Source organism: Homo sapiens, chromosome 4 (assembly GCF_000001405.40).
Source record: "Homo sapiens chromosome 4, GRCh38.p14 Primary Assembly".
Taxonomy (NCBI): domain Eukaryota; kingdom Metazoa; phylum Chordata; class Mammalia; order Primates; family Hominidae; genus Homo; species Homo sapiens.
In genome coordinates, this window is record NC_000004.12 from 113,305,172 (window position 1) to 113,321,457 (window position 16,286).

Below are 16,286 nucleotides of genomic sequence, written 5' to 3' on the forward strand. Positions count from 1 at the left end.
CTACTAAAAATACAAAAAATTAGCCGGGCGTAGTGGCGGGCGCCTGTAGTCCCAGCTACTTGGGAGGCTGAGGCAGGAGAATGGCGTGAACCCGGGAGGCGGAGCTTGCAGTGAGCCGAGATCCCGCCACTGCACTCCAGCCTGGGCGACAGAGCGAGACTCCGTCTCAAAAAAAAAAAAAAAAAAAATAGCCTCTCAGATCTGCCTATTGCATTAAATGAGATAAGTTATAACATTCTGTACTTTCATTATTAAAAATGTTATATATTAAATATTACTGGTGATAAGAACTCTTGGTTTGTGAAGAATATTGGTGAATGACCAAGATTATCTTTTGTGGCAAGAGAAGTCTATTTTTAGAAATAGCCAAAACTTAATGATATTTCTTTCCCCGAGGAAAATTCAAGTTGAATAATTTTCATGTAAAGGATCTATTTGAGTATTGATAAGTAACTTTTTCATGGAAAAAATTAGTGTGAAGGAAATTAGCTGGTTGACATTGCCAATGCCAACACTTTAATGTTTTGTGAGGTTAATATGTTTTTATGAAACCTGCTATCATCCACGTGGACACAATGCAGCCACATGTATTTGAAAATTATTAGCTAATCCCTGTTTTCTCTACAGTCTATTGTTTTATTAGTAGTAATAGTGTATTGACACCCAAAAAGAGTATTCAAACTCTTGTCATTAAGAATGGCACTATGTTTAATACTAATAGCTTTTAAGGAGAAATATTAAGGATGTTTCTTTAGGTTCTTCAAGATAAAATCATAAGGTAAGACTTTACATTGAGATGTCCTTACATTGAGATATCCTATCAGGCTAATTTGCTGTATACACATTAAAGTAATCCATAATATCCACTCATGAATCCAATTAACAAATAATGAATATGATGTTATTGTGTTTCGGAAAGCTCTATAACTGATGCCACAGTGGTCAAAGGTGAGCATGAGGCACACCTTTAGGAAGCCTATATGGAGAAATAATGTATATATTAAAAGAAGTATAATGTAAGGCACTATGTTGTCAGTTTTTCATATCCACTTGGGGAGATCAGGAGCTAGATATACCTAACACAGTCTCATGAACGTGCTAAGAGATGAGAGATTAATAACAGGGCACATAGATTTTAGGGATTAGATAAGGAACAGTATGGGAAAGTCTTGAGATAGGAAAGTACAAGAGAGAGACACAGAGTGGCAGAATCCTCCAGTCATTTGGTCTGCTGATGCATAAAAACATACCAGGCTCAGTTGTGGACTGTTTGAATTCTTAACTGAAAGGGAAACACGATACCTTAAAGATTTCAATTAATGATGAAAACATTTAAAACTGTTTTTACAAAGATTTAACCAGCAGTGGTACATAGAAAAAGTTTATTGAGAAGAACCTGGAAGGAAGCAGAAATCTAAGAAAAGAGAAAGCATTTACTAAATCTCTATAATGCTAGGTACATGTCTCATTTAATCCTTATACCATCCCTGTGACACAGGCTGTGGATATCATTCCACATATATATATATATTTTCAGTTAAGGAAAGGCTTATTTTTGGAGAATGAGGCCTAGAGACATTAAGTAGTTTGTTCAATAGCACGCAGCTAGTAAGTGGTGGGTGTGGAATCAAAACCTAGTATGAAAACTATTGTAATAGCACAGCCATGATATAAATAACATCCTTATGGAGGAATATGGCAGCGAAATGCAAGGAAAAGACAGAAATGGGAATTCAGTCTAACAGAATTATAGCATCCAGATTTAACCAAAGATGTGAAGGTAATCGTCTAAGTCTTTGTAGGATCGTGAGTTGATCCCTGTCTTCGCTGACTTGGCTTCCCAGCCATAAATGATGAGGTGGGGCTCAGAGATTTTGGCATCTGTATAACCAAAATGCCCATAGGAATGTGACTCATGTATGCCTTATTCTCATGGATTCTTGAGTGGGTGGCTTGTCCATATATCTCTGCTAGTACTCTGGAATGATGTATACTAGTAATCAAGAGAACTCCAGACTGGCTGAATGTTGGGATGAAATATAGAGGCGCCTCCTCCTTTGAAACACTCACTTCTGTTGTGAACACTTAACACTTAGTGGGGCTCTTCATCTCAGGTTTTAGCCCTTTTTCCATGTCTCAGCAGGAATAATGCTTGCTTGAGAGGGAGTGGGTTCCGTAACGTTTCAGAGAATCTCCTTGTCAGCATCATGAGGGGTTGTCAGGAAGGGGAGCCATTCCACCTTTTTTTTTTTTTTTTTTTTTGTGATGGAGTCTCACTCTGTCGCCCAGGCTGGAGTGCAGTGGTGTGATCTTAGCTCACTGCAACCTCCATCTCCCGGGTTCTCCTGCCTTTAGCTCCCAGAGTAGCTGTGACTACAGGTGTATGCCACCATGCTAATTTTTGTATTTTTAGTAGAGACTGGTTTTCACCATTTTGGCCAGGCTGCTCTCGAACTCCTGACCTCAGGGAATTCACCTTACTTGGCCTGCCAAAGTGCTGGGATTACAGGCGTGAGTCACCACGCCCGGCCGCCGTTCCACTTTAAGTTATTCCCATGCTATTGTCACCCGTGTCCTACAGGGGTTAAATATACCACTCACTATCACTGAGGAATCTTGTGTTTTCCGGGTATCAAAACATCAATTGTACATAAAAAGCCTGCAGTACACTGATGCTTTCCAGTTAGTAGAAAACAGTTTTCACGAAATTGCTTGGAAACATTGGACAATAAAACAACAAGAAAAAGCCAAGTCATAAACCTGGGAATCATCATTCTATTAAGTGAGTAAATAGGTAACAATCGGAAGGAAGTTATTCCAAGTATAGGAAATAATAAAGAAATTCATTTTAGGTTTGTTCTATAATGTAAAAACTAAAGGTTGCTTTTAGTTTGGTTTTGTTTTCACATTGAATAAGTAAGTTGAAAAAAAGAAAGTGTATAATGATTCTCTTAAAGCTGTCTGAGTTGTACAAAATTCTTTCCAAGTCTAATGGCACTCTATTCAAACAAATAAGAGCTAAAGCTTTTAATCTGAATATTATTTTAAATCATCTTTTCTCCCCCCTTGGCTTGGGCAAGGAAGTAGTCGTGCTATTTGCTCATGTAGGGAATTTTCAAAGAGAAGCACATTGACAAGGGGAGAGGTAAAGAAGATGAGTTCTGCTGTGGACATGCTAAATCTGAGATGCTTATAGAAAATTTAGGTGGAGAAGTCCAGAAGGCAATTGGAATATAGATGCAAAATTCATGAGAGAGGTCTGGGACCAATACAGATCTGTGTATTGTTAGTGGACCTCTAAGTCCATGTGATAATATGTGAAATAAGAAGAAAAGGCAGATGGAAAATATCAACATTTAAGAGAAGTAGAGACAGGGAAGAAAGACTCAAAAATATAGGGGGAAGACCAGGAGAGATTTGTGTCAGAGAAATTAAGGAGAATAGTTTTACAAAGAAGAAATCACTTCTCAGCCACTGATTAATTGCTGAAATTAGCAAGCATCTGCTTGATAAGTTTGATTGTTAACAAACAGGAGTCAGAGTGTGAAATAAAGAAGGTCTAAGAGTTTGGGAAAGAAGCTACCATATTTCAGAGATGGCAGAAATATGGATGTTTTATCCATGGAAGGGGAAAGACCTCCATAGAATCTGTAACAGAGGAGAGAAGGTTGAAGATGAAGGGCCTAGCAGACAATGTATCTAGGAAGTTGGGAGGGGATGAGGCTTTGGAGGCAGGGATGGGCCAGCTTTACACTAGCAGAAATCTTCTCACCCACCAAGGGAAGCAAGAATATGAGTGTTATTTCAGGGGCTCATTAAATACATTTAAAGCTTTGATTTGTATGCAGAATTTTCCAGTTATAGACCAACCTGGGTAATTTTTTTCAAAGTGATTTTTCACATTCTGTTAATTTCTACTTGCTTTCACTTTCCATCTTTCACTGCTGGTATGTATTACTGAATAGCATGATTTATATACATCTAACTGTCTTCGAGAGAAATTTTATATAGCACTGACAAGATTAGTCCCCAGAGAGGTGGCTTTCCAGCTAATGCCAACACTGGGATAGGATTTAGACACTGCTTTCAGCATTTAGGGACTTTGCTTCTTTGGGTCATTTCTCTCTGAGACATAATCAAGACATTGACTATATACCTAGGGCCACCCCAGGTGTATATGAAAATGCTAAAAATTCACTTTAAGTAGCACTGAACCTAGCAGCAGCCTTAGGCAGATAGCATCATAACAAAACCATCAAAATGCACAAAATAAGGGAGAATGTAAAGGACATTCACTTAGGAACTCAGCGTAATCAGAGGTGGTTTTTTTGTTTGTTTGTTTGCTTGTTTGTTTTTTGTTTTTTTGAGACAGGGTCTTACTCTGTTGCCCAGGCTGTAGTGCAGTGGTGCGATCATGGCTCACTGTAGCCTCGACTTCCTGGGCTCAAGCGATTCTCCCACTTCAGCCTCCCAAGTAGCTGGGAATACAGGTGCATGACACCATGACCTGCTAATTTGAAAAAAATTTTTAGTAGAGATGAGGTCTAGGTGTTACTCAGGCTGGTTTCAAACTTCTGAGCTCAAGCAATCCTCCTGCCTCGGCCTCCCAAAGTGCTGGGATTACAGGTGTGAACCACTGTACCTGGCCAATCAGAAGTTTTAAATTTTTGTCTTGTCACCAGAGTCATAAAATTTTGATATATTTGATTAAAAATATATTCTTCAAATGTCTTTCTATTTTCTAATAAGATTCTATTCACACGAGAGAGGAAGGCTGGGTTCCTGTGGTTGATTTGCATGTTCTACCTGATCAAATGCTGTGTCTTGCTCCTTCAGATGTAGAGTCATTCCAGCCAGACTCTTCTTTTATCTTTACCTTTCTCACCTTTTCTTTCTTCACCCTTATAAACCTTCCTCACCCTACCAAGGTGTAACAAGAGGGAAAGATAAATGGGAGAAATAAGAAAATTTGAAATGTAGGACCCATTTTATTAAGGAGTTTTGTGGATTTTTAAGGACCAAGAAGTTAAAGCTTATTTTGAGTTGTATTTATTCCCTGTGACCATCTTGGCTGCTGAGAGACAGCGGTGAGAACTGGCAAATTAGGAGAAGCAAGATGAAATGCAAAAGCAAACAGACTCTGAGGAGGGACAGGATGCTCGAACCTAAGTAGTATTCAGAATTTGGTGCTAGAATTTTGGGGAGTAGGGGTGGGGTAGAAGACTGGGGGAAAGAAAGAGTATATAAGCAGACTTTTTTTTTTTTAGATGAGTCTCACTCTGTCACCCAGGCTGGAGTGCAGTGGTGCAATCTCGGCTCACTGCAACCTTCATCTCCTGGGTTCAAGCAATTCTCCTGCCTCAGCCTCCCAAGTAGCTGGGACTACAGGCATGTGCCACCACGCCCAGCTAATTTTTGTATTTTTAGTAGAGACAGGGTTTCACTATATTGGTCAGGCTGGTCTTGAACTCCTGACCTCAGGTGATCCACCTGCCTCAGCCTCCCAAAGGGTTGGGATTACAGGCATGAGCCACTGCAGCCAGCCAACTTTTAGTTTTTAAATAATCTTTTTGGCTTTTTGCAAGGGATCCATAATATGCAGCTTGCACTGTGCTTGTATTATGTGACAGATTCTGTATTAAACCATCCCCTTCACCTTTTCATGAATAAGAATAGATGTAGTCTCCTGAAATGTTAATAAAACTCATATTTTTTTCTGAAAGTAATGTAGGCTTAATCCTAAAGCAGACTATGCCTGTGTTTTGATAAATCTATAATTAGAATTCATCTTAGAAGTTTTTTCTCCTAGAAGTAAACAACAAGGGATATCCAAACTTAATATTAAAAGAATTAAAATTCAAGTGATTACTTCTTCTTGGTAAGTACTAAGAAAATGAATCAAATGTTGTTTCTCTAAGTTTTAGCACTGTATAGTTGTTTGCTGGTGTTCTGTGTTCTAGTGTGCAGTGCAGTTTCATCAAGGTCAAGGTAATGATGTTGATGCATTTCACAATCATGACCATATGTTGTAGTTGATATTACATTCAAGAAATAATCCTGCTTCTTCCTCTGATTGTTTCAAGGTGATGACACAATGACTGGTGATGGGGGAGAATACCTTAGGCCTGAGGACCTAAAAGAACTGGGTGATGACTCACTACCCAGCAGTCAGTTCCTGGATGGTATGAATTACCTGCGATACAGCTTGGAGGGAGGACGATCTGACAGGTATCTCATAAAACTTATAATTGATGTCAGCCAGAAGTATGTGCAACATATTTTTTATGATGATGATAAAAATGTAGATGCAATTATTGAGCATTTAATAGGTACCTTATTAATCTCAGCAGTTAGCATGTTATGTTTTTCCATTGTCTAACAACTTTAAGATATGCCCATTTTAAAGAACAGAAAACTGAGGCCTAGAAAGATCAAATAACTTGGTAAAATCAAACAACTAGTAAGAAGCAAAACCATCATAAATAAGAGTTCTCATCATTTAAATGTGGCGTTTTTCATCACTGGCCACTTTTTCCTCAAATTAAAAGGACAATTTTGCCTTATAGACATTCTTACTGAGCGGCATCACAGACACTTTGGATACTCTTCTGCCCCCACTTTTTTGTTAGTAACATAATTTCTGTGAATAAAGTATGTTGTGAGGCTGAATTAAAAAGAAATACATTCAGAACAAAACTGCCTGGAACTGACTTTTTCATGAAAAAGAATCCGAACAGAATCCCACGAGAGCCTGGATACAAGAAACAATCGGAGCAAAATCTGAGGGAGCCCAGTGTTAATAGGCAAATCTGGGAGGTTTATATAATATTCTGAGATATATGATCAGTGCTACTTTTTGTTATTATTAACTAGTACAACTGGCACTTGTTATTTTTTTATGCAAGTTAGGTAATGACATTCTGTGGTTCCTCATTGAAATTATGACTGATAAGTTGGGCCATGAATATGGATGTCATAGCTGGGTGCAGTGGCTGGGTGCTGAGACCTGTAGTCTCAGCTACTTGGGAGGCTGAGTTGGAGGATCCCTTGAGCCCCAGAATTCAAGTCCAGGCTGGGCAACATAGCAAGACACTGTCTCTTGAGACAGAAAAAAAAAAAAAGAAAAGAAAAGAAAGTTTGTCCACGTAGTGTAATGTGTTCTGCTAATCAATAATCTCAGGTTTATAGTTTTAAAGTTGGCACTATTGTAAGCTATTTTATGAATATCCAGCATAGAGTCTAAGAAATAAATACCTTAAAGTCTAAGTGAATAATTAGCAAAAACAAACTTTTCTTGGGCTTTTTCCTTGAGCACCAATGCCCCCTTCCACTATCTTTTTTTTTTTCTTTAGCAAGATAGGCTTGTTAACTTCATAGTCTAATGGGATGGGAGAGGGCATAAGCTAGTGGTACACATAGAGTGCCACTGAAGCCCTGAGGCTCTAGCTTCCTGGAGCAGATGAAACCAAACTGAGACCAAATAATGAGTAACAATGGTGAGGAAAAGTGGGGAGGGCATTTGAAGCCTTAACAAGGTCTTGAGCAAAGGCTCGCAGGGTGTATGAGAAAAAAGGGAATGCAGTGTTGCTGGAGTGTAAGTGTGGAGGACGGGAATTATATTTGCATAGCAGGGGGATCCTTCTGCCAGTGAGAAAGAGGATGAATTTTAAAGGAGAGTTTCAAAGGGCTAAACCTGGAGATTGCAGCCACTCTGAGAAGCAATTGTTCGTGTATTAACTGCAGGTGTCATGAGAGGACTAGCACTCTAACCTTGGTGATAGTCATGGAGAGAATTTCAGAAATAAAAAATTTGAGAGTTTTTTGAGACATGTGTAGGAGGCAAAACTAGTCAGATTTCATGATGAATTTCATGATTTAGGTGAGGAAGGGGAAGGAGATTAAATTGAGTCCTTGGCTTCAATAACTTAGATAAAGGGTGCTCCCAGAAGGAGGAGCCCCTCTGGAGTTCCATAAGCTGTCTTGATACATTGGTAGATTTGGACCTTATACTCTGAGATTCTTAAAAGATTTCAAATTTGAATAAAGTGTAATGTTCATGGCATTGCACAAATTGATGATAATCTATGAACAGTCTTATTACTGTCAACCATAAAGCTTCTATTTTTTGCATGGTCTCCCTTATTAAGAATAAGTACTTGATTTGATCTGTTTTTCTTCTTTCAAAGTACTTAGGTTGAGGAAGAATTTAGAATAATACTTTCTATAAAACAGGATGGATGGCTTGAATGCTCCTGCTTAAATCCAATACTTTTCAGCACATAAGGTCAGGGGACATGAAACAAACAAGACATACTGTGTTCTCCAGGTCTCCACTTGCATTTCTAGATCACTAGATGTATTCACCATTTCCAAAATAGAGTGACAGACAGCATCTCATTTTCATGGTCTTCTTTTATTTTTAATTTTGCTTAGGCAATTCAATATAAGTTACCTTTTCTCAGTGACCATTTTTTCCTTTGCATTATTTCTTTATCTGAATTGCTTTCACTAGCACCATGCCCAGGTAGGTATTAACAGAGCATGGAAACAAGCCCTTCCTAGATTTATCCACATTTCCCTGCTCACTGCTAAACCTGCGTGTGTGTGTTGCCGGGGCGGGGGGTGAGGGGGAGCGGTGGGGGAGTGGGAGGGGGTGCTTATATTCTAGAATTATGGATTTATTCTAAAATAAATATTTTTATGTATTGAACTGAATAACTAGCTGAGCTAGAAGAGGTGAATATATTATTAAAATGTAAATCTGTGACATGACCCAGGTATTGCTTTGTTTCAACAATCACTGCTGCACCTGTGGTTGATAACACATTAGCATGGCTTTCCCCAAACAACCCCAATTAGCCTATGTGTAGTTGGAGAAGATAGAAAAAATATTCTGATGCCTAAAATATGCATAGATATGGAAGAATACAAATACATACAATTTAATGTACATTAAATACAAATACAACCAAGTTATGATTAGTTGGATTTTGCATCTGTTTTATTTTATTGTAGCTTACAAATTAAAAATGCTTTCCAAATTCAATGTAAAATACTAAATAATAATGAACCACAGAAGCTTCTTCATATCTTAAAGCAAATTTATTGAAAATTGTGGATTTCTACTCGTTAAGTTTGCCACTCCATTAATTGAATGTTTAATAAATATTACAGTTTACCAAGATAGTAATTATTATACTTTTCAATAAAATTACACTTTCATACCACCTATTATGTGTCCATAAAGCAGTTGTACCGTAGTAAAATAAAAAATATAAACTAAGACCATAACAAAACCCCTAGTACATCCCCTAGATGAACAGCAAGTAAAACTTTACACTTCTATGGCTATGTTATTATACATTTATTAACTGAATAGCAGAACCATTGACTTCATGAAAAATTGGCAACTGTATTGGAAAATATTTAAACTTGTTTTTAATGTCTTAAATCAGAGTGAACAATTTCTGATCCAAGGGCTTAAATTATTCCAGACCTTTGTCATGCTGGTTATATTATTTTAGTGAGAATAATTCTTTAGTTATTATTATTTTAGAGGGAATATTCTTTTAGAGCGAATAACTTCTCTGGTGTTGGAATAGTCCATCTTTATTTCATTTAAGTAGATTATACGACATCATTTTTAAAAAAGCAGTTAGAAATGATACACATTGATTAAACAACCAATTAGTATTTCAGAAGGCAGTAAGTAAGTAGAGGAGGCTAGAATACAACCCATAGAAAGGTAGAGACACTCCTATATATGGTTTTGACTTATTCATTGTTGCTCCCTCTCTCTGTCCAACTTTTCTCACTCTCTGTGTACATATCCTAATATCTTTCTCTCTCTACTCTAATCAATTTTTTGTGATTATATATCACTTTGTCTCCTTCTTTCTTTTCTTATCCCTCTGTATTTCTTTCCTGTTGGGGTTTTAGGAAAGACAAAAAACACCAACACCTCTCTATTCCTCTCAGTACAAAACCAATTGAGAGATAGACTCAGGTATCAACTAAATGGATATCAAAATTTCACTTGTATGACTGATATACCGATTGCAAAGTGCGACTTTACTTTCATAGCCCAATGGGCTCTTTAATACCACATTCCTGAAATAGACAGACTTGTCTACTTAGCCATAGTCACTCCTTGAGAGTGGCAATTGAGACCTGATTGATTCTTTCAAAGTTTAGACCTTTGCAATCTGGCAGCCACGTCACAAGGTTTTATTTGAGGTACCATTATTTACCATTCAGTTTGTTCTCATTCAAGCTAAATTTTCATTTTCCCTTTGAGACCGGTGTTTCTGCTATTCCAGAAGACGGTTGAGCCCATAGAACAGCTGTATTAGAAACAGAAGAGGTTGGCTCCTCTACTATTTTCCCTTCCTTAGCCAAATTCAAAACAAAATAAAGGTGAATAGAATTTAAGAGTTGCTGATCTAGCCCGGGCATAGTGGCTCACGCCTGTAATCCCAGCACTTTGGGAGGCCAAGGTGGGCGGATCACGAGGTCAGGAGATCGAGACCATCCTGGCTAACACGGTGAAACCCTGTCTCTACTAAAAATACAAAAAAATTAGCCAGGCGTGGTGGCAGGCGCCTGTAGTCCCAGCTACTCGGGAGGCTGAGGCAGGAGAATGGTGAACCTGGGAGGCGGAGCTTGCACTGAGCCACGATCGCGCCACTGCACTCCAGCCTGGGTGACAGAGCGAGACTCCGTCTCAAAAAAAAAAAAAAAAAAAAAAAAAGAATTGCTGATCTCGTGCCACCTGGTACAAAACACATCCAAGTGGATCTTAGCTATCTTTGTGATTTACAGCAGGAAAACAAATTATCCATTCCACCAGCTGAGACAAGCTTTTGCTGAGATTAACCCTTTTCCCAATAATCTAATCCCCTATCAAAAGCTAAATGTAAAACCATCTGTAATATAAGTAGCCTCCAATTGCTGGAGCTAAAACTCTTGTTGATGAAATTACTAAGGCTCTGTCAAGAGCCTCAATCTTCTCCAAGAGCCTACATAACATAAAATAGTTAATTCTCAGGTTATATTTAGATTTTGTTTTATTGTAAACACAGATTTATGTATGTGTTAACGCAAGGATCAGACAATCAACTCTTTTTATTCATGTCATTTACCCTTTAAGACTTTTTTTGGAATATACCTACATGTAAAATAAGAAGGAGAAGGTCCTGGATTACTATGAATTACCTACAAAGTGATGATTTCCTCAAAGACAATTGATGCGGGCTATGTTGACACCTCATAGATATGATAGTACATGGCTTACAAAATTAAATATACTTGCAAAATGAAGATAGTTTCTACTAATAAATATGCTAATTTAACATTTAGTCCATAATTCTACAGTGCTTCACTGGCCAAACACCTACTAGCTAAAAGTAAATGAAAGTTTGCTTCTATAAATATTGTGAAAGCTTGCGTATCTCCTTTTTTTCCCTTATGGGCTTTGGGCTAATATTTTGAACACAGATCTTTAATACTTGAGCTACAGTGTATAAAATATAGCTTATTTAAGATACCAATCTGTCATTTGATTTTACAAATTGATTTAAAAGGAATGAGATTGCATCTATGCAAATGTCAAGTTTTACCTATTACATATGAGTGTGTAATTTAGAACTTTGAAGTTCAGATTTTTCAAAAATGTAATGCATGGTTTATCAAGGCCTAAATCCCATTTTGAAGCCAAACCTCATTTTTGGTCAGTGGCCATTGGCAATTTGTCTTTGTGCTGGCAGGTGTGTCTGTGTTCTGGGCTGGAGCTTAGATACAGTTTCTTGTGCTCATGCATCTCATCACCACGGCAACCAACACTCTGGTGCTTCAGTCACCACACACAGGACATGCAAAGGGGACAGTGCTCTCGTTTGAAATAATAGCATTGTTGGAGTCACTAGAGACAAACAAGAGGAACTCCACTTCCGCAGGAAGCATGCATCTGGCCACAGTTCATTTCACTCTGTACCTTCCAGGGGAATGCACCAACATTCAGTCATTCACAGTTTAGAGAGGAGGAGAAAGAGGCATAGAGAGAGAATGGAAAATAATAAGCGAAAATGAAACTGGGCTTTCATTTTGTTCTTCTCTCTGAGGGCCATCTACTTTCCTCCTTATATTTTTCTTAGTTGCAGAGAGATTAACATTTAACACAGATTTAAGCAATCTATCCTGGAATTATTTCCTGAGTGAATTTCTGGTACTGGCAGTAATAAACTACAGTTGCTGGTTTCAAACATTTCTGGGAAGAAAATGAATCAGATTAGGAGTATCAAATTTTAACTTCTGGATTCCCTTGTGCTCTTGCCATTGAGCGGTAGGAACCTGTCAAAGGATGTGTTAGTTCAGCTGTTGGACAAAAAGGTAGGACAACAGAGACTTGTGTCCCCCTGGAAGTTGTGCTGTTAGCTAATAGCACGCTTTTTTCACTCTCCTGCTCGGCTCATCATTTTGTCATCCCAACCCTGCTACTGCTGTTGGTATATGCCATGGCCTCCTGCCAACCTACCAGCCTTCGATCCTTCAGTTCCGACAGGTCTCACACTCTGAGCCATGCCTCCTACCTGAGGGACAGTGCCGTGATGGATGACTCAGTTGTGATTCCCAGTCACCAGGTATGTGACATTTTGCCTTCATGTCTTTGCTTTCTGGAGAGCTTTGTAACATTATTGGATGCTAGAAATGTCCTGAGAAAGTTTTTAATCCCCCCAAAATCATTCCCAATTCAGTTGAGAAGCTAGGATAAGAGATTTGAGGGTTTTCCTAAAACATGAAAAATGTTCACTAGATTTTTTCAATGAGCAGTGTTTTTCTGAAAAAGCATACTGCTTATTTCTTCAGCTATACTGAATTCTTCTGTGGAGATTATATATGAACATTATATTTTTAAAATAAAATCTCCATTAAAGGAAAAAGTGAAGTAGGATGCATTTAAGGTATAAGATGAATGGTACAGGTTAAGTTATATCTTTCAATATTTAAAATTGTTAGCTATGAGAAAGGCTTAAAATTTATTCTGGAATATTTTAATTTTAGTTATGATTTTATCACTTTTGGTGGATTGGGTATAGGGAAATAGATGGATACCTACTGTCTTCAAAGACAATTACACGAATGTAATCTTATATAATCTATTTAAATAATGCAGTTTAAAAGAGAATGCATTTTAAAAGATTCATTGTAAATACATTGGTTTTATATTTTAAGTGTAAGTTTTTCTAGGTTATACCACTTTCCAGTGATGACACTTTTTATATTTTGTTATATTTTACTTTAATTGAAGCAAAGTGTGTTTATTCAATCCAGTGTTCTTTGTGTTTAGGTGTCAACTCTAGCCAAGGAGGCAGAAAGGAATTCTTATCGCCTAAGCTGGGGCACTGAGAACTTAGACAACGTGGCTCTTTCTTCTAGTCCTATTCATTCAGGGTGAGTAAATCAATATTATGTATCCTGATCAAGAGGTAAAAAGAGATGGGAGTGAAAACAACAGCTTTGTCCAGTAGCTTTAGCTGGTGGCTAGCTTTACAGTGGAGGTGCCCTTTGTTTAAACTTGTAAATAACATTGCTTTATCCAACATGGACTCTATATCTACAACAACAAACCAGCAAAAAAGATTGAATTCAGCATTAAAAAAACTGACTATTGTTTTAAAACAACTAGTAGAATTGCGTCAAACAGCTTGCTACCTAACTGGAATATACTAGTGGCCTTCCTACTATTCACGTACTGTCTTTAAGACATCCTAAAAAGAGGGGCTGAATCATGTGATTTCTAGAAAGTTTCTATTTATTAGGATTAGCTGATTGGTTCAATGAAATAAATGCCTTTCTCAGATGCTAATGCATTTCAAATAATGTTACAGAAGCTTGAATCACACAAATATATAGAGGAGTTTATATATTGTTTGAAGTAGGGATATAAACAAAAAGGGAATTTGAACGCAATCAGTCAGGTTCTCAGTTATCTTTTTAAAGTCATTCAGAGAGTATACACACCACTGTTGAAGCAATGCTGCCTGTTTTTATTAACTCATTAAAAAATAGGAGTTTGAGTCATACTTTCAAACATACTTAAAGTTGTTCTTAAGGTGTTCAGTTATGTGGAATATAAATTCTTTAAGGAGTTTTAAATTGTAACACTCTTCCAATTTCTTCCTTACATATTAGTAGTTTGCAATAATATAGTAATATCATAATTATATATAAAATTTCTATTTTTTATTTAATTATTTTTAAAGCCCTATTTATATGCTATATATCAAAATGCAATATTTTGATTTTAATTATTATCCCCAAATCCTTATCCATAAATCCCAGAACTATTTGGAAAAGTAGATCCTTTCTTATTTTTATTATTCTAAAATATTCTTTATTCAGGAAAGAGTTCCAACATATTTTAGTTAAAAATTTTAGACTTCTTCAACTAATCTTATACTAAGTAAAGGTTCATACAATAACATAAGTTATATAGTTATTGAAAACAATCCTAATACTTTTTTCCTTGTTAAATAAGTAGAGGCTAGTTCCTAATGCGACAGTTATTCATGAGAATAAAAAACAAATTACACTTCATTCAAATTTACTTGCTTTTTTAAAAAAAGAAAGCTATAGATTACTAAAAAGATACAACATTGCATTCTGCTAATGAACTTCTTCACAGTGGTAAGAAGGAAAAAGACCTGGATGTAGAGTATTGTAGGATCATAGATAAGAATCTAGAAATCATAATGAGGTGTTTAAAGTTCATATGCAGCCTACAAAGTGATGAGATGGTTTTAGGTAAAATGTAATTGACTAATAATAACTGAATTTACACAAGAATCTGTGCATGCCAATACTTCAGTTTGCAAAATAAATCATTTATATTTTGAAAAAGGAACTTTTAAAAGAAGTTCTTTCATTACTGAAGGGCAGTAAAGTAGTCTAAGTACCTCAATTACACCCCAATTATGTACAACTAGATACACCTATAAGTAATTATGGTGCACTACTTATGATGAACCAACAGCATCCAGTAGTTAAAGATGAATTATGTGTTAAGATAAAGATCTTTAAATTCATAGTCTTTAATAAAACAGTTTTCCTATGAATCTCAAGCATTTAATACTGACTCTGGATAATTCTCAACTTTTGCTGTGCATTAGAATCACCTAGGAGCTTTAAAAAATACTAGTGCTGGCCAGGCGCAGTGGCTCACGCCTATAATCCCAGCACTCTGGGAGGACGAGGTGGACGGATCATGAGGTCAGGGGTTTGAGACAAGCCTGAACAACATGGTGAAACCTCATCTCTACTAAAAATACAAAAATTAGCCGGGCGTGGTGGTGGTGCACACCTGTAATCCCAGCTACTCAGGAGGGTGAGGCAGAAGAATCATTTGAACCCGGGAGGTGGTGGTTACAGCGAGCCTAGACTGCACCACTGCTCTCCAGCCTGGGTGACAGAGTGAGACTCCATCTCCAAAAAAAACAAAAACAAAAACAAAAAAAACTAGTGCCCAGGCCTCAACCCAGACCAATTATTTGGAGGCCTGGCATTGATACTGTCTACAAGCGCCAATAGTACAGTTGTTTTATATATAAACTGTTAGGAAAAACTTTGCTTAATAAGGCTTTGGTTATTAGAGAGACCTGGTTAATTAAGGTATACCTAGTTCTCTCAAATGTTCTTTATTTCTTCCATTCACTTATGTATTCATTCTTCACACATTTGTGTAATTCTATAAAGTACCTGACATTGTGCCAGGTACTAAGAAAAAAGCTAAGTAACATCTAGCCTCTGCCTTTAGAAACACACTCTATGTTGTTATTTAAAGTTAGAAGACACTTAATCTGTAAAGAGAGAGAAACATCGTGGTTAATAGTGTGCTTGGGAGTCAGACCTGTCAGAATTAAATCCTGACACTGACACTCGTATGTGACATCAGGCACAGTTATATAAAAATCTCTGAGTTTCAGTTTCCATATCTATAAGATGAGTGTTATATTATTGATCCCATAGGGGAGCTTTAATAGCTAATTACTTTTTAAATAATTAGCACTTTGCCTGGAAATAATAAGTGCTCAATAGATTATAGCTATTAGTATTTGTACAATCCCCATATACACATGTTCTAGATCTTTCACAAATTGCAAATCCATTAAGGAAAATGTATTATGACTCCTCTAAATGGCAGCGTCAATGTGGTTCAATTCACAATAGTAACGTTTGACTTACTGTTATTTTTATTCAGGCAAATTATTCTCTATTAGCGTCTCCAGTGT

The 16,286-nt window shown here is 37.0% G+C and overlaps 1 protein-coding gene across 71 annotated transcripts in view, besides 1 other annotated feature; it reads left to right on the forward strand.

Moving 5' to 3' along the window:
* Window positions 1-16,286, forward strand: part of ANK2 (ankyrin 2) — a 678,115-nt gene that overhangs the window by 599,550 nt on the left and 62,279 nt on the right. For 46 of the 71 annotated variants that reach the window (NM_001386187.2, NM_001386147.1, NM_001127493.3 and 43 more), the window contains 3 exons: window positions 6,084-6,228; window positions 12,536-12,638; window positions 13,346-13,449. In NM_001386187.2, the coding sequence (NP_001373116.1) occupies window positions 6,084-6,228; window positions 12,536-12,638; window positions 13,346-13,449 (352 nt within the window). Of the gene's footprint in view, window positions 1-6,083; window positions 6,229-8,512; window positions 8,525-12,535; window positions 12,639-13,345; window positions 13,450-16,286 lie in introns of all 71 variants that reach the window. The other 25 variants (NM_001386186.2, NM_001386148.2, NM_001354269.3 and 22 more) reach the window with 3 other exon arrangements.
* Window positions 11,996-12,075: an enhancer, noted in NCBI's record as "active region_21836". NCBI's record gives its function as "activates an Ori minimal core promoter by ATAC-STARR-seq in GM12878 lymphoblastoid cells {active_cell/tissue: GM12878}" and the evidence as "EXISTENCE:reporter gene assay evidence [ECO:0000049][PMID:35858748]".